This window comes from Homo sapiens, chromosome 14 (assembly GCF_000001405.40).
Source record: "Homo sapiens chromosome 14, GRCh38.p14 Primary Assembly".
Taxonomy (NCBI): domain Eukaryota; kingdom Metazoa; phylum Chordata; class Mammalia; order Primates; family Hominidae; genus Homo; species Homo sapiens.
In genome coordinates, this window is record NC_000014.9 from 72890908 (window position 1) to 72911066 (window position 20159).

General features: G+C 45.3%; 1 protein-coding gene, 1 long non-coding RNA gene and 1 pseudogene across 5 annotated transcripts in view, besides 1 other annotated feature; all 3 read right to left on the minus strand.

Annotated features, from left to right (window-relative positions):
• DPF3 (double PHD fingers 3) overlaps positions 1-3194 on the minus strand; it is a 285068-nt gene extending 281874 nt beyond the window's left edge. For 3 of the 4 annotated variants that reach the window (NM_001280542.3, NM_012074.5, NM_001280543.2), the window contains exon 1: positions 3150-3194. In NM_001280542.3, coding sequence (NP_001267471.1) covers positions 3150-3181 — 32 coding nt within the window. In that variant the 5' untranslated portion in view covers positions 3182-3194. Of the gene's footprint in view, positions 1-1239; positions 1743-3149 lie in introns of those variants that run through there. The other variant, NM_001280544.2, reaches the window with a different exon arrangement.
• Positions 3154-3448: an enhancer, noted in NCBI's record as "tiled region #237; K562 Activating DNase unmatched - State 1:Tss, and HepG2 Activating DNase unmatched - State 4:PromP". NCBI's record gives its function as "activates a minimal TATA promoter and a strong SV40 promoter by Sharpr-MPRA in K562 cells, with weaker activity in HepG2 cells {active_cell/tissue: K562 | HepG2}" and the evidence as "EXISTENCE:reporter gene assay evidence [ECO:0000049][PMID:27701403]".
• LOC107984711 (uncharacterized) lies at positions 6464-17435 on the minus strand. Its single transcript, XR_001750998.1, has 3 exons — positions 17193-17435; positions 15566-15651; positions 6464-6738 (listed from the first exon to the last, which is right to left on the minus strand). It is a non-coding gene; the product is annotated as an uncharacterized LOC107984711 (long non-coding RNA).
• Positions 17436-18529: 1094 nt separating this feature from the next.
• Positions 18530-18616, minus strand: LOC124903429 (uncharacterized; annotated as a pseudogene).
• Between the last annotated feature and the right edge of the window lie 1543 nt (positions 18617-20159).

A 20159-nucleotide genomic window follows, 5' to 3' on the forward strand; every position in this document is an offset into this window, starting at 1 on the left:
AGAAGCTGGGCTGTCAGCTTCAGAGAGGAAGGGGGTGAAGGGTACAACAAGGAAGAAAAAGAAAGGGAGTTGAGGGGAGATCAAAGACAGGCAGGAAGAAAGCCAAATTGCTAAGAGAGGAGATGTGGCTTCAGGAGCTTGGGACCCTAAGGAAAACCCCAAAGCAATGAGATTCAAAATTGTGCCATCCCATCACCCCAGCTAATTGAATTATTGAATGTCCCACGTGGAAAAAGCTAGTACAGTGAAAAATAGCCCATACTCAGCGTAGGCAGAGCCCTGCATAGGTGCTGCTGGAAATCTGAGCTTGTTTCTTCCCAACACATTAACTACCACCACTTTATCCCCCCATCCTGAGGAAACCTTTGTGTGACCATTTTCTGTAGGAGACGTCCGTGGTGTTGGCTTTTTTTTTTTTGGAGGGAAGAGAGAGACTCAGAACGCACACAGAGAAAATGCTAATGTCGTTCAGCTCTGTTTCATTGTCAGGAGGGACACATGAGGATAAAAACATAGCTCTCCAAACCATTCTCCCCGCTACCCCTCCTCCCTGCACCACCACCATCCCTTCGGCTGGATGTGTCTCTGCACTTTGTTCTAATTTATCCCATGCATAATTTATTCACGTGTGTATTGTTTCCTGATCAGCAACTTTTAAAAACAAATGAAATATATAAGATGTTTTATTAAACAAGTTATTTTTAAAAAAATAAAGGCAGATGGTGTCCCTCTCCCAATAACAACGTGTGTGCTCCTGCGTTAGGAGTTGTCAAAAACTGTCCAGGGTGTGAGAGGCTGGGCTGGTCAGTGGTATTGTTTATACCCCTTTACTCACAGGGAAAGGGTCTGGGAAGCAGAAAGGAATAGCTAATTATAAATGACCAAGCAACTCCCACCTAGAAAAAGCAAGCAGGGGCGTTGTGTGTATGCTAGTGTCTGCATGTGGGTGGCAACACAATTACAAATACATCACGTTGCAACTGTTTCTAATTATACAAAGTACAATTCAGAACTAATTCCACTAACCGGCCAGAATTCCGCCACCTTCTTTCCCGCGTCTGTCCCTTCCCCCACCCTTAACCCCACCCTACACAGACTCCCTCCCCAAACACGCACCCTACTGTGATCCAAAAAACCCTGGAGCGAGTAGGGGAACACAAGCTTAGAGATACTGCGCCCGCCCGCGCGAAAGCGGGCTCCCGGGTAACTAGGGTACGGCTTTCCCAGGAGGAAACAAACCTGGTGCACATGTGAAATAGGTTCTCTAACTTGAGTTTACCAGGTGGCATCAGCCCGGTTATGTGATTTCGGCTGGAAATGGGGAAACTGAAAATCAGTTGTGGGTTCGGTAGAAACAGCATCAGCGGTGTTGCAGCGAAAGCAACCGGCAGCGAGGATGCGGCGAAGTTACGCCCATTTATTCTGCCATAAAACATTTTCTTTCTTGGGTGAAACGCTGTGGCGTTCAAGCGCAGTGTATCCGAGCTTCCGAGCCAGAACTGAAGCCAGGAGCTCCTATCTGATCAGCCTCAGCTTCCAACGTCCTCTTAACGGCAGCTTTCATATAAATATATTTGAAACCTGGGGCCTTCCTACCCCTTTCCCTATTTCTGATGGGCGACGAGCTGGCGCAAACACGTCCGATTCTCCCTGTGCATTCCTTTGCGTTAGGAACCCCCTACCGTCCCCGGGAGCGAACCTGGTTTTCAACTCCAGGAGTGGCCAGGGGTGAAGACGAGAATGCGCTGAATTAAAAGAACCAGGGTCGACAGCGGCCACGCACCAGGGAGAATTCGGCATGAACCGCCCCCCACCCGACCTGCACCTCCCTCTGCCACTTCGCCTGCGGCTTCGTCCGGGCGGGGAAGTCCCGGTCGAAGGGGTGAGGACCCCCCAGCCCACCTCGGATACGGAGGGAGCCACCCTCTGCCGACATCACCCAATAGCACCCCTTTCAGAGCGACACTAGTTTTCCGAGGCCACCCCTGGCTCCGCGATCGCGAGCGGACTTGGCGGCTTAACAGTTCCACTGACTGGAAGGAAGGAAGGAAGGAAGGAAGGAAGGAAGGAAGGAAGGAAGGAAGGAAGGAAGGAAGGAAGGAAGGAAGGAAGGAAGGATGAAAAGGAGGAGGAAGGCAGGCAGGCAGAAATTGGCTGTTGGACCCGGGGCTGGCCCCCGCGAGTCCTCGCCCGGCCCGCCCCACTCTGTCCAGGATCTGGGCAAGCGCTCAAAGTCTCCCCGAGGCGGCCAGAGGCACCTGCCCCTCGCCCGGCCGGGAGCAGACGCTGCCCCCTCGGGCCAGGAGCCCCAAAACCGCCTCTCCGCCTGCCTCAGCGCCTCACCCAGAGGTGGCGAGAACACCATTCATAAGACCTGCGGCTTCCCTGCCTCCAAATCCACCCCAAGTTAACCCGAGTCGTTAATCCACTAAAGCCAGCTCGCTCGCAAATACACGAGCAGACACACGCTCGATCGCCCGGAGCGCCTCCGAGATCCGGGGGCTGCCGGGGAAAGCCCGGGGCGACCACCTGGGCCCCAGCACGCCCGGGACCCGCTGCTTCCCCCGCGGTGCTCCAACTCCGGAAGGTTTGCACAAACTCCCCGCGAGCGATCGGAAGGCGAAGAGCGCCCTGCAAACTCCGGAGCCTCCGCGGTCCGTCCGCTGGACCCAGCGGACCCAGCGGCGGGGCGGGGGCCGCGGGCTCGGGGGCGCGGGGCTCGGCCAAGTACACCGAGGCGGCCACTGCCCGACGCTCGCCCCCCGCCCAGCAGCCCCCGAAGCCGCGCTCCCTGCCCGCGAGGCGGGGGACTCCGGGGACCGCGCCGTCCCCGAGCTCCCGCGACCCTCCTGCTGTAGAGCGCTCGAGCGCCGGGCTTCTCCGCCTGCAACCCCTATATCTGGCTCTCTCTGCAATTTAGCAGAACACAAATGTAACAATTTTCTTCTTGTTAATTGCATCTCCTGACATTTCTGCGCGTTGGGGGAAAAAAAGAAGATGAAGAAGTAAGAGCTGAAAGAAGAGAGAAGCCCCGCCGCGGCTGGAGGCGCCTGCAAGCGCAATGCTCTGGCAGCGCTCGCCACGCAGAAGGCGCCTTTTTTTTCATATTGAAACCACGCGGAATATGTACATTTTTTAGTCTTACTTACGCTTTCAGGGGGTTGTGAATGACAGTCGCCATTTTGCTACAATGTAACAGAATATTGTCTCAGAGTTCTAAAGGTTCGCTCAGGGGAAGCGACGGGCCAATCACAGCGCGGGATACCGGCCCGCCGGCCAATCGGCGCTGCTGGTAGCTAGGTGGGCGGGGCCTGCGCCGTGGTAGTTATTAGGAGAGCTGTCAAAGCCCAGAGGTCACTCCCTTTTGTAGAGCCCGAGAGCCAGCAGGTCTTAAAGGGGCAGTACAGCGCTGGTAGCTCCTTTTCGGGCTGGGGAAAGTGGAGACGCACGGGAGAGTATTATAGTTTGGTTTAACTCCCTACTTTTCTAAATAACTGCAGAAGAGTTTGCGCTCCCGGACAGAAATATTTAAATATTGCCAGCAAGCCACTGAATCCTATTCATTAGCCTTTGGCTTTGCGTATCAACATTTTTAATCCCCCAAAGGGTAAATCCCCGTGTTTCAGTGCAAAAGTTGGAAGGCTGCCGTTTCGTGTTAACAAATTACTACATGTGCTCTGCCGTTTGCTAATGCTCTGGGTCCTGCCGCTTTTTAATATTCTTATTCCCGAAGTGTTCTCTTTATCTCGGCCACCTTCCTCTCTCGCTTCTTGGAACTGTCGCTGCTGTTCCTGGCGACTCCAGGACAGCAACTCACCCTCCCCCTGGAACGTCTCAATGTCAGGCTCGCTCCCTCCTGCAGCCAGGGCTTTCCTTACGTAGTGCAGGGGGGTTACTCTGCGCGGTTCCCCGCTACCACCCCTTCGGTTCTTCCCTCTACACCAGAAACTTCCAAAATGCTCAGATTCCTGCTAGGTGGTGGGACCTGGAGCTCTGATCTTTAGGCTTAGGGGTAGGGAGGACTTAAGGCAACCTTTGGAAACTTTCTACTGCTAGGAAGCAAGTGACTAGGCAGAAGTTGTAGAGCCTGGACTGGGTGTTATCAGGGTCCCTTTAGAGGAGTGGCACACGCGATTCTGGCGTCACCTTTCACTACTTAGATAGAAGGTGGAAAGAATTTGCTAATGAATAATCCGATGTGACCCGAGGCGTCCAATGAGTCTGTGTCTGCTTCAAGTCAGTGTGAACTCTTCACTGGCGAGCCCCTGACAAAATTGGGAGACTTCTGCGAAGTCAGGCTTCCACTGGGCACCGGGAAGCTCTGGGGGGATGAAATCGCATTAAATCGCGAATAGGGTAGGGGCCTCGTTAGCATACAGAAGTCTGGCTACCATTCCAAAGCTGTTTAATCAGATCAAATAGCTAAGATAGTGGGGGAGGGGTGGCAAGGGGAGAGAAGTTGCCAAATTGCCAGTTCTTCAAAGCTATGCCCTCTCGCTTCCTTTTGCTCCTCTCAAGACAATGAATAAAATAAAATAAACATTCCAGAATTTTAAGAGTTCAACTACATACACTATTAGATTTACAGATAAACAGAACGTGGCTGAATCACTATGTTTTTAAAAGATTTGAAATCTTTAACTCCTCTCTGCGTATTTAAGAAGCAGAATTGAGTTCTATAGATTCCTTTGTAAATCCTTTGCATAGCATCTTGGCAGAGATTACAGTTTGAAAAAGTTATCTCCTTTTCCAAAATTGAAGTTTGAAAAATCCCTTCTTTACTAATTTGACAAGAAATTGGTTCAGAAGCCTATACTTTGCCTGAGGTGGGCCTTGACATCATTGAAAAGCAAGAACTGTATTCTGACCCAAGAAGTATGAGTTTGAATTATCAGTTAGAACTCCCAATAACCTCTTTGAGGTATCAAAGACACAACAATTCAGATTAGTAGACGACAACGTATTTTCTTACATGCAGCCTGATAAAGGAGGAAATGTAGAGCATGTCCTGAACAAGATTTACAATGGGGGAAGAGAGAAAAAACAAATGTATATTACATATTAAAGAAAACACATACTCTAAGCATGTACATATCATTTATTGTGTTAAGGCCTGGATGCAGAAACCAGCATAATCTCTAACTACCTAACGAACTTGAAAATGTCAGATCAGATTTATTGATTGGATTGGAAAATAGTGAATTAAAGACAGTACTTTAAAAAAAAAAAAAGGATAGCCTTGCTTTTTGTAACCCAATGGAATGTCATTTTAACTCTATCAATACAGTTATGACTTTTAAAGAAACACTTATATTTAACAAAAGAGTTATTTTACTTTAATGTTTACATTATAGATCAAAATATAAAGATTTCTTTTTTTTTTTTTTTTTAACCAGAAGGTTCAAAAGCAAAGAGTAGGCATGTTTAAAGAGGACAGTATCCTTAAACAGTTTTGGAGAAGTTTGGCAGTTCTGGGGCAATTTCATAGTGCTGTACATGGCAGAAGTATGAGCTCTGGAATCTACCAGCCTGAGTCCACTATTTACCAGCTGGGTTACCTTGGGCATATTTACTTGCCAGGATTAAATGAGGTAATACATGTCAAGTGTCTGACACACAGCAAGCTTTCAATCCATGTTATTATTTCTTACAGAGATAATTAATTCTTTCCTTACGGCATATGGAATGTAGGGAATCCAAAAAACAAGGCACAACAGAAAGTGAAATTAGCCATCACATTTAGTTTTCTAAACTCATTAATCCAAGAAAAATGAGCAAATGGACAACTTGGATTAGAATAAAATAATAAATAAGAATGATGTTTCAATGAGGGGTCACATAACTATATAACCCTAAAAAAGGCTTCTTGCTGATTGTGATACCAAAACACTTTTTAAATTTTTTTTTTTTTTCTGAGACGGAGTTTCACTCTTGTTGCCCAGGCTGGAGTGCAGTGGTGTGATCTCAGCTCACTGCAACCTCCACCTCCCGGGTTCAAGCGATTCTCCTGCCTCAGCCTCCCGAGTAGCTGGGATTACAGGTGCCCACCACCACGTCCAGCTAATTTTTTGTATTTTTAGTAGAGACAGGGTTTCACCACGTTGGCCAGGCTGGCCAGGCTGGTCTCGAACTTCTGAATTCAGGTGATCCACCCATCTCAGCCTCCCAAAGCCCTGGAGTTTTTTGTCGTTGTTGTTATTGTTTTCAGACAGGGTCTTGCTCTGTTGCTCAGGCTGGAGTGCAGTGGTGCAAACACAGCTCAACATAACTCACTGCAGCCTCAAACTCTTGGGGTCAAGTGATCCTCCCACTTCAACCTCCCAAGTAGCTGAGACCACAGGACAAACCACCATACTCAGTTCATTTTTTAATTTTTTGTAGAGACCAGGTAACACTATGTTGCCCAGACTGATCTCAAACTCCTGGACTCATATGATCCTCCCACCTCAGCCTCCAAAAGTTCTGGGATCACAGGCATGAACTACCGCACCCATAGCCTAAAATCCCATTTCTAAAGCTCCATAGCTATTCATATATTTGAATACACTTCATTGTATTCTATCCCTTTTATCTTGATTTAGCTAGTTAGGCAGCTTAATTTGGAGAGCAGAGTGGCCCCAGAATAATCACCTCCACATCTCACCTGGAGAATGTTGAGCTTCACTGTCCAATATAGGAGCCATGGGCCACAGGTGACTACTGAGCACTTGAAATGTGGCTACTCCCAATTGAGATGCGCTGTAAGTATAAAACAATGCACCTGATTTCAAAGACTTAGGACAAATAGAAGGTAAAATATCTCATTATAATTTTTACATTGATCATTTGTTGAAATGATATTTTGGATTTACTGGATTAAAGAAAATATGTTATGAAGACTAATTTCACCTATTTCTTTTTACTTTTTTTTAATGTGGCCACTAGGAAATTTTAAATTGTACATGTGGATGGCATTGTATTTTTATTGTACAGTGTTGCACTGTACAATAAAATGAAGAGATCTGCCTTTTTGCACTGTACAATAAAAACATATAAGAAGTGTGTGTCACCAGGGAAAGAAGTGTGGGGACCATTCTCAACCATATTAACTCACCCTTGATGTCAGTGAGTGAAACTCCCTGGCCCAGCTCAAGTATTTGTTGAATGCCATCCGTTTGAAGGAACACTGGGCACAACCAAGGACCCAAGAACCTAAGCCAAAAGGACATCCATCTCTCTTTTTCTTAATTATTTATTTTATTTTTTGAGGCTGGAGTACAGTGATCCGATCTCGGCTTACCACAACCTTTGCCTCCCGGGTTCAAGCGATTCTCCTGTCTCAGCCTCCCAAGTAGCTGGGATTACAGGCACCTGCCACCACGCCCAGCTAATTTTTGTATTTTTAGTAGAGACAGGGTTTCACCATGTTGGCCAGGCTGGTGTCGAACTGCTGACCTCAGGTGATCCACCCACCTCGGCCTCCCAAAGTGCTGGGATTACAGGCATGAGCCACCACACCCAGCCCCCATCCCTCTTTACTCCTAAAAAGTTTGAGGGCTGTTTCAGCAGACAACACAAAGCTATAAGAAACCCATCCAGAAGCAGGAAAGAATGGCATTTCCGTAGCAAGTGCCAACCTTTCCAGCTGACTTTTTAAAGGCACATGTAAACATGAGAGAGAAGTAAGAGAAGGAGACACAGGCCTTCCAAACAGCCAAAGAGTTCATTTGAAAGAGGAAGTGTGCCACAAAAGCCATCCAAAACAAATGCAGTTCCTAATGGACTTCAAGAGCTGAAGGGGTTTTAAGTCCCATGGGGATTAAAAACAAGAACAAGCTCACCCTCAATCCCTCCGTCCATCCACAGAGCAACCAGCCATGGCCTCAGCGACTGGTTGGCTGTGCTGGTTCCCTGAGATCCAGAACCAGCTCTGATATGTTCCTCCAGGCACTGAGCTGAAGAGGAAGAGGAATCCTTTGGAAGAAAAGGGAGCATCAAAACTGCGATCTAATTTTCTCTGTTCCTGGGGGAATGTTGGGAGAGGAGTTTTTAGGCCCTTCACAGTATCTCAGTGTGTACAAACACACACACACAATCAATTTCTCAGGATGCGAGATGCTCCTGGGGTAGTCCTTTGAAACCTCATAATTCAGGGCAGAGTCAAATAGAATCAATGTTTACTGCTGCTCACTAACTTAGTTCATTCATTCATTCATTCATTCAGTCACTGGAGGCTTTCTCTAAGGGAGGCATTGCGCTAGGCACAGGTGGCAAAATAAAAATAAACCAGATGTGGAAACAATTCTCAAAAAGCAATTTCCATCCATCTGGAGACAGAATAAAGACAGTAGGCCCAACCCTGTGAGCAAGTAGAGCAATTACTTGATGTGACTTAAAAGGAAGCAGCAGCCTGCCCAGCCAGTCTTCTTTTCCTGGCCTGGTGCCCGTAATCCAAAGGGTTCATCCTTGAGTGTTTGTTGAATGCATTCACTCCTTTGGGTTTTCAAGGTTTCAAGGTATTGAGATTTTCACAGATTTGTACAAAACAAAGGAGAAGAAGGAGAAGTGATACATATCAAAGAACGTCAGTGGAGGGAGGGGGTAGTTCTTGAGCATTTCTAACGCTGGTCGAGGGAAAGACTTCAAGGAGAAGGTCATATTTAAATTGGGCCTTGCTTGGGGAGCTCTTAGAAATAAGCCAAGGGGTGAAAGGCCTTCTACACCAAAACCATAACCTAGCAACAGCTAATTCATATAGCAAATATTTGTAGATTATCTACTGCTGGGCCTTGGAGTACAGAAAGACCTAAGAAAACCCCCATAACCCCACTTTAAAGGGATCATATTTGAGAGATGGGGTGGGAGGAGAAGGCAGTTACAAGGCAGAAACAGGAAGCCACGGAGCTCAGGGCACTGTGGGGCTGGATGAAGAGCACCTGCCAGAACACAGAAGGTCAGGATCGTCTTCCTAGAAGAGCTGATGCCTGAGCTAAGTCCCGGATGACCTGGAGGAGGAAAGGGTGTCCCTACAGAGATGGCAGCACCTTCAGGGAAGTGGGAGAGGGCACTGTGATTTCAAGAGATCCCTCTGGTAGGAAGGTAATTTATGCAGAGGGATGAGTGAGACAGAGAAAGCAGAAGCAAGGAGCGGGTGTTATTGCTAAAAAATGTGTTTCATCTGGGAGGCCATCAGGCAACACCAAAAGATTTTAAGCTAGGAGTGAAAATGAAGACATCTGCCTTTTTTTACAAGTTCATTCCAGCAGCAGCATGACCATGGATTGAAAGCTGAGCTGCAGGCCTGGGAACCTGTTAAGGGGCTGTGGCAGCCCAGGATGAGGTATACAGGGCAGAATCAGTGGCTTCTAAGGAAGTAGAATCGGCAGGACTTGGTGACTGGCATGCTGTGGGTTTGAGGGACACAGGAGGGGCCCTGGATGATGCACCTGGGAATGGACATTGGTCAGCTTGGTCTTGACTGGAGAAACACACAGTCAAGGCCAAGGCCTGAGGGCTGGAGGCCAATGAAGCACTGAGATTTTCTGTCATGGAGCAGGGGTTTGCCTTACTAGAAAACCTTAATCCTCCATCCCCAACACTTCCCTAATGTTGGTATAAATCTATCCCCTGGGGCAATGGTGGGTAACCTAGGCTGAGAGGCTGTGAGAGGCTGAGATTGTCTTAATATCCCCCTCCACGCAACAGTGCCAGCTTTCCTTCCTCTAAGGACTTCACCTTCAGTGGGAGCCTCTTCCAAATTCCCTTCTTCTAATCCCCATCCTTTCCTTTACGACATGCTCTGAATTGATTTAAAGGAGTTTCCCTCCTGGGTGGTTGCATTTTAAGAGGGAATTCTAGGACACCTCAAAACCTACACAAGGAAGGGATTAAGACTTCATAAGATACACAGTACACACACACTCTCTCTCTCTCACACACACACACACACACACGTGCATAAGTAGTGGCTTGATTAGAACCTCAGACACCAGGAAAGCCAGCAGATGGAATATTTTTACACAGGAGGTTTCTCCACTCAAATCACACAGAGTAATCACAGTCTACTCTAAAGACCAGCCCCAGCCCCCTTCTCCCTCACTAACACCAGACCATCTCAAGTGGGCCTCGGGTCTTCTTCCTGATAAAGCCACTGGTTGCAGAGCTCTCATGGGGTCTATTTATTTAAGATGGCTAACTCTCCTCTCTCTCTTCCACCCTCCTCTACCTGCCAAGTCCACATTTTCCAAGTCCTCCTTCAGCCCACCCACATGGACACCATATCTGAAATCCTGGTAGTTCTTCTGTCCTAAGTCAAAGCAACTGGCAAGGCCTCCTGCAGACAGGGACAGAATGGAACAGGAGAAAAACACTGTCCCTTATTACCACCATGGGGAGTGACCAAGACATGCATGAACAAAATTCCTTAAAACTATACATACATGTGAAGAAAGAAAATTCACCCCTTGGCCATTTCTTGGTTAGAGAAGCTTTTTTTCATCTGCAAAGGTGGATGCCTCAAAGGCCCCCAAAGAGGGCTTTCTACAGGGTGTTGCTTTAAGTGTGGTGACACTCCCAGGCACCTGTTTCCCTCACTCACAACATTTACATGACCTCAGGCTTCTACTCTGTCATTAGTCAGGAATCATCCAGGAGAAGTCTACAAGCCAAGCACAGGAGGGCATATTAAGTCTTGTTGTCCTGCAGATATTTACACCACCATATAAAAATAGGTGACCGCAGCAGGAGAGATGGATGGAAGCCACGGAACCTAAAATGTCCCCCACTCTGGCAAAGAGGGAGACAGAGGCCTGCTGAAATAAAGCAGGTGTTTTCTGTTCTCAGACAGCCTCGGGCAATGAACTCTGGCCTGTATAGTTGCAAAAGGACCTCAACTCCATGTTTATGCTACTCCAGAGGAAAAGAGAAGAAGGTGAGCAAATGTTCCTAAAGCCCACAGAGGGCCCTGTGCATTTTAAATGCATCTAAGCCAACAGGGCAGCCAGGCTGAGGACAACTTCTCCAATGCAGCAATGGGTTCTGGGACAGAGGCACAGCCCAGAGAACCCCGAAGTAAATAAAGATAGAGGAAATGGAGCAGGGAAAATCAGCGAGGTGGGACTGCTGAGAGAAGGGAAAAAATGGAAGTAATTGGTTCTGGTAAGGGGAAAGGCGAAAAATCCAATAAAATGGGACTATTAAAGACCTAAGCAGCAAAGGAAATTTATTTTCTGTACCTGGAATCCCAAAGTCATCAGATGCTCTTTGTTCTCACCAATCAAAGGATAACACGACTTATTGTGTCCATGTACAACAGACACATATTTGTATTGTCACCATATTGTAATAGTTGTAACTCAATGACAATTCTGAAAGTGAGGGCTATTTTCTAGACACAAGTGGGCTCATTAACAGCGACTCTGAAAGCCACCATGTTTCTAGAAAGGCTTTTGATAAAGCTGATGGTAAACATTTTAATCGTAGCCATTCAGTAGCTTAAATCTAACACTTATTTGGATTAAATATATCTCAAGTTAGGCACTTGCTGCTTTGGGTTTTTGCACAGTTTTATGAATAGCTCTATTAAAATACTTGTATTTTAGTACATCTCATTTTCTGTTTTCCTATCCCACAAGGTGTAGAGGCCAGATAGGACACCTTAAATCTCCAGAGTCTGGCCCAAGGCCTAGCAGATGGTTAATAATTGGTAGTTGCAAGAATAAGTAAAAGCACAAATTACTAAATCTAGTGATATAAATCCCTCCCCATTAAAAAAAAAAAAAAAAAAAAAAAAAAGCTAGGCCCAGCCAGGTGGCTCACACCTATAATCCCAACGGTTTGGGAGACCAAGACAGGGAGGATGGCTTGAGGCCAGGAGTTCAAAACCAGCCTGAGCAACATAGTGAGACTCTCTCTCTATTTACAAAAAAAAAAAAAATCTACTCCATACCTACTAGGTGGCTAAAATCAAAAAGTCAAAAATAACAATTGTTATTAAGAACAGAGAAATGGAGAAATCAGAACCCTAATATGCTGATGGTGTAATTGTAAAATGGTCCAGCTGTTTTGGGAAGCAGTCCAGCAGTTCCACAAATGACTAAACATAGAGTTACCATGTGACCCAGCTATTCCACTCCTAGGTATATCTCCAAGAGAAATGAAAACATATGTCCACAAAGAAACAGGACATGAATGTTTATGGCAGCATTATTCACAATATCCAAAAGGTGGAAGCAACCCAAATGTCCATCAGCAGACAAATAGATAAGCCAAAGGTGGTGTATCCATACAAGAGAACATTATTTCGCCGTAAAAAAAAATAAAAGTACTGTTACATGCTACAATACAACATGGATGAATCATGAAAACATAGTGCTAAGTGAAAGAAGCCAGTCACAAAAGACTGCACACTCTATGATTCAATTCTCATGAAATTCCAGAATATGGAAATCCACAGGGCCAGGAAGGAGATTAGTGGTTACTCAGGGCTGGAGACGGCAAGTGTGTGGGAATAGGAGGGGGACAGCTGAACGATATGGGGTTTCTTCTCGAGGTGATGAAAATGTTCTCAAATTGACTGTGGTGATGGCTGCACATATCTCTGGATATACTAAACACTATTGAACTGTGTACTTTGTTTGTTTGTTTGTTTTTAGAGACAGTATCTCACTATGTTGCCCAGGCTGGACTCCTGGGCTAAAGGATCCTCCCACCTCAAGTGACCACAGCAGGAGAGATGGATAGAAGCCATGGAACCAGCTTTGTACACTATAATGCCCAGCTTTGTACACTATAAGTGGGTAAATTTTATGGTATATGAATTATATCTCAATTAAGCTATTTTTAAAAATTCTCTACTCATAATAAATACCAGAAATTTCTGTGGCTATTTTCTCCTTTAGAACTGTGTTAAACAGGTAGAAAATGGAGACTATTAGAAGAGATTCAATTTTCAATTTGGTGCTTCTATATTTATATGAAGCCTGAAGGCTGAGGTGGGAGGATTGCCTAAGTCCAGAGGTCAAGGCTGCAGTGAGCCATGATTACACCACTGTACTCCAGCCTGAGCTACAAAGCAAGACAGAAAAAAAAAAAAAAATCTTGTATATTAGCTACTCTGGAGTGACTCCTCAAATGAAGTCTCACAATGCGGGCTGAACTGAGAACCTGTTTTACTTAATGACCAAAGCTACTCCTACCTCAAATTTGGGTTTCTTTTAAGTTCTGAGATATAGTGCGGGTAGGAGGGACAATTCCATCTGAATTGAGGTCCTTTTTCAGTTTTATAATGTCTTTAGCTAGTTTTGATCATGAATTATGAATTTTGGATAAACTTTCATGTGACAAAACCAAGGAACAAAAACAAGGAATATGACTGGAAGCACTGATGACAATATCAAATAGTATAAAAGTCTAAGGAAGGAGGGTGGTAGTGGAGAAAGAGAAATCCAAAAACCCTAGAACTGAATCCCAGCTTGACTACTTCCAAGGTACACAACCTCTGGCAGGTGACTTGACCATGAACCTCAGTGTACTCATCTGTAAAATGGGGCTATTCATACCAGCTTCTGCATGTGATACTGTAAGTGACATAAAGAAGAGTAACTGACACACAGTCAACACTTGAGAAATACTTCTCCCTTCTTCCCAGATAGAAAATGCAAAATTGAGAACTCGTTGATGCTGAACAGGAACAAAGAAGGGAAAGAACAGATGACAAGGAATGGTGGAGTTAGAGGGAGTCTGAGTTAACAGAATGAGACCAAACAAATTCATTGTAGCCAGATAGTCCTGGACCAAAATGGGAGATAAGGCTTGCCTGTGTTCAAGGAAAAGGGGCATTAGACAAAACAGAGAGCAAAATGAGAACCGGACTGGTCTGTCTGTAAGCCTTTTGAGGTTTAGAAAGGAGCCAGTCCTTTCGAGAGCTTCATGCTGAGATATTCTGGAATTAGATAGGGATGTGGTGGATGACAGCAGGATGGGATTAAATGCAACAACCAGGATATGCAATTACTAACAAGTTACTCACTGTTCTCAGGGATAGTCCAAAAGCCTGGGTTTTAGGAAAGCAAGCCTTAATGGAAACAAACCAACGTCTAGTCCACATTAGAGTGTCTCCTTCTTTGATGCCCCATTGGGAGGAGGATGAAGTTGTGCAACTGTTTTTTGCTGAAGAGTAAAACAAGTTTTCAAACAGTGCCCTAAATCCCAGTGCCCAAATTTGTTACTGGCAATTGGGCGCCCTCTAGTGTCAGTGAGCAGGGATGCCACCCTTTGAAAGTCATAAAGTTGGGAAATCCTGTTGGGTTCCAGCTCTAGAAGGAACTGCCAAACAGCAATATTTACATGGGTACCTGGAAGGCAGGAAAAGGTTGAAGGAGCACCACTATGACACAAACGAGTTCTTCTGTCAAGAAGTTCTGGAACATAGTAAGTATTCATGAGATGTTTGTTGAAAGTGAATGACAATTAGGTCCATGACAGACAGTCCTGCATTAATGCCCCATCAGGATATTGACATGTAAAGAATACACCACCTGTCAAACCGATGCAGCAATGAAAAACTTGACTGCTCAGATCTTAGGATACTTTTTTTTTTTTTTTTTTTTTTGAGACAGAATCTCACTCAGTCACCCAGGCTGGAGTGCAGTGGTGCGATCTCAGCTCACTGCAACCTCCGCCTCCCGGGTTCAAGTGTTTCTCCTATCTCAGGCTTCCGAGTAGCTGGGACTAGAGGGGGGCCATCACGCCTGTCTAATTTTTGTATTTTTAGTAGAGACAGGGTTTCGCCATTTGCCCAGACTGCTCTCCAACTCCTGGCCTCATGTGATCCGCCCGCCTCAGCCTCCCAAACTGCTGGGATTACAGGTGTGAGCCACCATGCCCAGCCAGATCTTAGGATACTTTCTGAGTGATATAGTTGAGTAAGAACCATGGCTAGATCACTTAGCTGAAATTAAAGAAATTACTCCACTGGATCAACCAAAATATACATGTTGTAACAAAAGTAAATCCTCTTGGCCAGGTGCAATGGCTCACGTCTGTAATCTTGGCACTTTGGGAGGCCAAGGCAGGCGCATCACCTGAGGTCAGGAGTTCGAGACCATCCTGGCCAACATGGCGAAACCCTGTCTATACTAAAAATACAAAAATTAGCCGGGTGTGGTGGCACATGCCCGTAGTCCCAGCTACTCAGGAGACTGAGGTGGGAGAATGGCTTGAACCTGGAAGGCAGAGGTTGCAGTGAGTGGAGATTGCACCACTGCACTCCAGCTTGGATGACAGAGTGAGACTGTGTCTCAAAAAAAAATAATGAATTAATTAAGTCCTCTTTATAATTCCTCTTTTCCTTGCTGAGCTTTGGTGAGTCCATCTGCAAATTCAAGGGGAGCAGAGACTTTCCTCTAAGAAAAGATGACCTGTGATCCTGCATACCATTAGAGCAGTAAAACATGTTCAAGTTATTTCTCACCTATGCTGAGTCAGATGGGGGGAAAAAGATGCCCACTTCCATAGCCAGAGCTGTTTTTGCATCAGATCTGTTATTCATTGAGAGCAGAAGAAAAAATTAACCTCACACACTTACCTCAAATTGTTTGCCCATCTAGTTCGTTTGTTGCCAGAAACTTAGATTCAGTAGACTCAACAGCACATGAAGCAAGAATTCCCGAACTATTCCAGTTTTGCCCAGAAGGAATGCAAGGCATGAGAAGAAAAAAATTAAAAAAAAAAAAAAAACAGCCTTAGTATGCACTGATCCAGTTTGCTCATAGTGCCCCGATTGCTGGGGTAGCCAGCAATGCTTTGGAACCTGCCTTCTCCCTGCTGCAAGAACTTGGAGAGACATTCCCTGTGCAACCCCTGTGCAAATATAAGACATGCACCATGCCACTTTCATTTTGTTTCTTTTATTTTTTCATCTTTTTTTCTTTTTGTTGCTTACACCTGTAACAAAACTGCAACCCACACTACTTTCTTTGCTCATGAAACCTACAACACCTTCTGCTTCTTCCTTTGTGAATGCCATGTTGTACCTGTAGCCTATATCTATGTCCCCTGAATGGTCAAGTACCTGAACTTGAACATCCAGCAGAATGGCCTCAAATGTTATTTTACAGATTAGCCCTGCCCTGCCTTGTGGAAAAGCCCCAGAGGCCACACCTACCCATGGCTGATGTTTCAAATGACTATTCATTTGTCCCGGAAGTCACAGACAGATTTATGCCTCAGACACTCTGCAAAGAGGTACCCAGAGCACAGACTGAAAACTCAAATAATTATTCCCAATCTTCTTTCTGGGATCAGGAGAATAAATGGAGAGCAGATGCCTTAAATGCATCAAGAGCACATGGTGCTGCTGGAAAAGGGGTGCAAATCTGTCCCCCACACAAAGCCCTTTAGGAAAGGATGTCCAAGCACTCTGGAACTTACTCTACATTTCTAAAAGCGGGGTGAATCCCAAGGGGCTGGGCCAAGCCTGGGGGCGCTTTTGCATGCAGACCAGCCACTAGAGCAGGACCTGGTCTCCCAAGAGAGTCAGGGTCTCGCTGTCTTGCCCAGGCTGGTCTTGAAATCCTGCTGTCAGAGGCGTGTGAACCAGAGCAACTCCATATTAAATAGGAGCTGGGTAAAATGAGGCTGAAACCTACTGGGCTGCATTCTCAGTAAGCTAAGGTATTCTAAGTCACAGGATGAGATAGGAAGTCAGCATAAAATACAGGTCATAAAGAACTTGCTGATAAAACAGGCTGCAGTAAAGGAGTCGGCCAAAACCAAAATGGTGATAAGAGTGACCTCTGGTCGTCCTCACTGCTACACTCCCACCAGCGCCATGACAGTGTACAAATGCCACGGCAACGTCAGGAAGTTACCCTATATGGTCTAAAAAGGGGAGGCATGAATAATCAACCCCTTGTTTAGCATATCATCAAGAAATAACCATAAAAATGGGCAACCAGCAGCCCTCAGGGCTGCTCTGTCTATGGAGTAGCCATTCTTTTATTCTTTTACTTTCTTAATAAACTTGCTTTCACTTTGCAAAAAAAAAAAAAAAAATTCTAAACGTGAGGCAGGTAGGCGAGCATTAGGAGTAGAAAGTCAGGCTCCCAGCTGGCTACCATATTTAACTGGTTTCTATTTTAAGTAAGGACTATAAGGAAAGAGGTGGGAGACAGGGCAGAGCCCCGCATGTGCTCTGCAGGAGCATTACTCACCAGGTCATTACTCACCAGGGCGCTTTTAAAATCTGGGAGCCCTGCAGGGGGTTTCCTTTGCAGGCTCACAGCTAATGTAGAAGAATGAGGGCTTCTCTTCTCCTGCCTTCTTTTCAGGGCTCCTAACCTTCCAACGCCCAGAGTGCTCTCCCAGTGGGTGGGTCAAAATAGCTTACCCAGAACTCCAGGAGGAAGAGAGGAGGAGATGCAGAGTTGGTAATGGCACTCCAACATTCTGATGGCAGAACTGAAGAGGTTAAATAGGTGGTGGGACATCGTAACATGAAACAATAGTTCAAATCCAATAGCAAAACCTCTTAATTCATCCTCATAACATGATATCATAAAAGGCCCTTTTATTAGTTCTTAGAAAAAGATATTCTTGGCCAGTCGTGGTGGCACACATCTGTAATCCCAGCACTTTGGGAGGCCGAGGCAGGATAATCACTTGAACTCAGAAGTATGAGACCATCCTGGATAACATGGCGAAACTGTGTCTCCACAAAAAACACAAAAATTAGCCAGGTGTGGTGGTGTGCACCTGTAATCCCAGCTATTCAGCAGGCTGAGGCAGGAGGATCACTTGAGCCCAGGAGGTCAAGGCTGCAGTGAGCTATGATTGTGACATGCACTCCAGCCTGGGCAACACAGTGAGAACTCATCTCAAAAAAAAAGAAAGAAATGAAAAAGAAAAAGGCATTCCTGATGGAACCTGCTAGACATCCATGGAGCTAAACTTTCTATTTGTGCTATCCCAAATAGAAAATCCATAGTGCCTGATTTTATTGTAAAACACATTTATTTAAAGAAATCAAAAGTTTTTTCCACATCCTATTAAATCCCTAAATCTCATTATAAGTTGACTATAAGTAACCATTGATTGAATTTTGCCATCAAATAGAATTTAGTGCCCTCAAGTTCACAGCATTGGGTGAAGTATTATACACAAAGTAATTCAGACAATATCTCAGAATCTTAAACTATATCAATACCCTATATTACATTATAAACCATTTCCAAAAAACTTTTTGTAAAGTGCTTCCTGTTCAAGCAGACAGCTGAGCCCAACCAATGAGAAAGGATTCATCATAATAATAAGAGTCACATTGAATACTGCTTCCCAAGTGCAGACACTGTTCTAAATTGCTTTATCCAAATGAGCCTGTGTAAGCCTCTCAACAGCTCCTTAGACATACTCTCAGGATCCTCATTTTACTGGCAGGAAATAAAAGGATGACTGTAGAAGCAAACTTAGAGTAACTAACAGCCTCCACTTAAAACTAGGTCAACAAGTTTGCCAATCTCTAAACTCCAGTCCAAATAACTTTTTTTTTCCACGTCAGACGGGTAATATGCCAACATCATAACAAGCTCACACATGCGCGTGAAAACCCAATCATCACGCTTATGAACTACAAAAGGATTCAAATAGCTCTTCTTTCAAGTTCAAAACACAAAAATGAATTTTACTCTCAAATCTAAAATTTGCAACACCAGGTTTGTCATATCACACAAAGCTATTTTCATTAGCTATCTGAAAAGCAGGGAAGAAACCTTTTTCTCAGTCGAATAAAACCACACATACCTTTGAAGCAGCAGGCAACCGTCAGTGCCCCTACTGTTGGAGAAGCCTCTACTCCTTTTATTTGATTTTTTTTTTTTTTTTTTTGAGACAGAGGGTCTCACTCTGTCACCCAGGCTGCAGACTCATTCTCCCAGGCTCAAGTGATCCACCCACTTCAGTCTCCCACGTAGCTGGGATGCACCACCACACCTGTCTAATTTTGTTCATTTTTTTGTAGAGACAAAGTCTCACTATGTTGCCCAGGCTGGTCTCAAACTCCCGGACTCAAGGGATCCTCCCACCTCAGCCTCCCAACTTGCTGGTATTACAGGCGTGAGCCACCCCTCCCAGCTCCTCTTTTTCCTTGATACTGTTCTTTTTCCTCTCTTGGCCTTTCTGCCGCTTTGACATTCCCCTCTGGGGAAGGTGGGGAATTTCAAAACCAGTTTACCATGGTGCATCTCCCGCAAGGAAAAAAACAAATACCAAAATATCAAACTTCTACTAAAAGTTTTTAAAAGTTTACCTAAGGCCAAGCACGATGGCTCATGCCTGTAATCCCAACACTTTGGGAAGTCGAGGTGGGCGGGTCACTTGAGGTCAGGAGTTCGAGACCAACCTGGCCAACATGATAAACCCCATCTCTACTAAAAATGCAAAAATTAGCCCGGCGTGGTGGCTCATGCTTGTAATCCCAGCTACTAGGGAGGCTGAGGCAGGAGAATTGCTTGAGCCTGGGAGGCGGACGCTGCAGTGAGCCGAGATTGCACCACTGCACTCCAGCCTGGGTGACAGGGTGAGACTCTGTCTCAAAAAAACAAACAAACAAAAAAAGTAAGTTTACCTAAAGCAGCAAATGATTCTGCTTACACAGTAAAGCCATCAAAGAGATGGGCAGTGGCAAATGTATGTGTGACTTTAAACCTTTTCCCAACTGCCCCATAATCCACAATGGAGGTAATACTTCAGAGCAATAGGCGTTCCCTTTGTTCATGCTCTTTCATCCCTTTCTCCAGCTGAGCCCCCTCAAGCCAATGATAAATAAGAATGTATACATTACCGAGGCCTATTGGTATTAGGAGTTTGAGGTTTATTTGGTTTCTGTTTTCATTTTATTTTCAATGTGAAAATAATTTCATCTTTTTCCTGGACATAAAAACAATGCACATCTATTATGAAGAATTGGAACAATATGGCTGGGTGCGGTGGCTCACACCTGTAATTCCAGCACTTTGGGAGGCTGAGGTGGGCGGATTGCCTGAGGTCAGGAGTTCCAGACCAGCCTGGCCAACATGGCAAAACCCCATCTCTACTAAAAATATAAAAAATTAGCCGGGTGTGGTGCCATGCGCCTATAGTCCCAGCTACTTCGGAGGCTGAGGCACGAGAATACTTGAACCCAG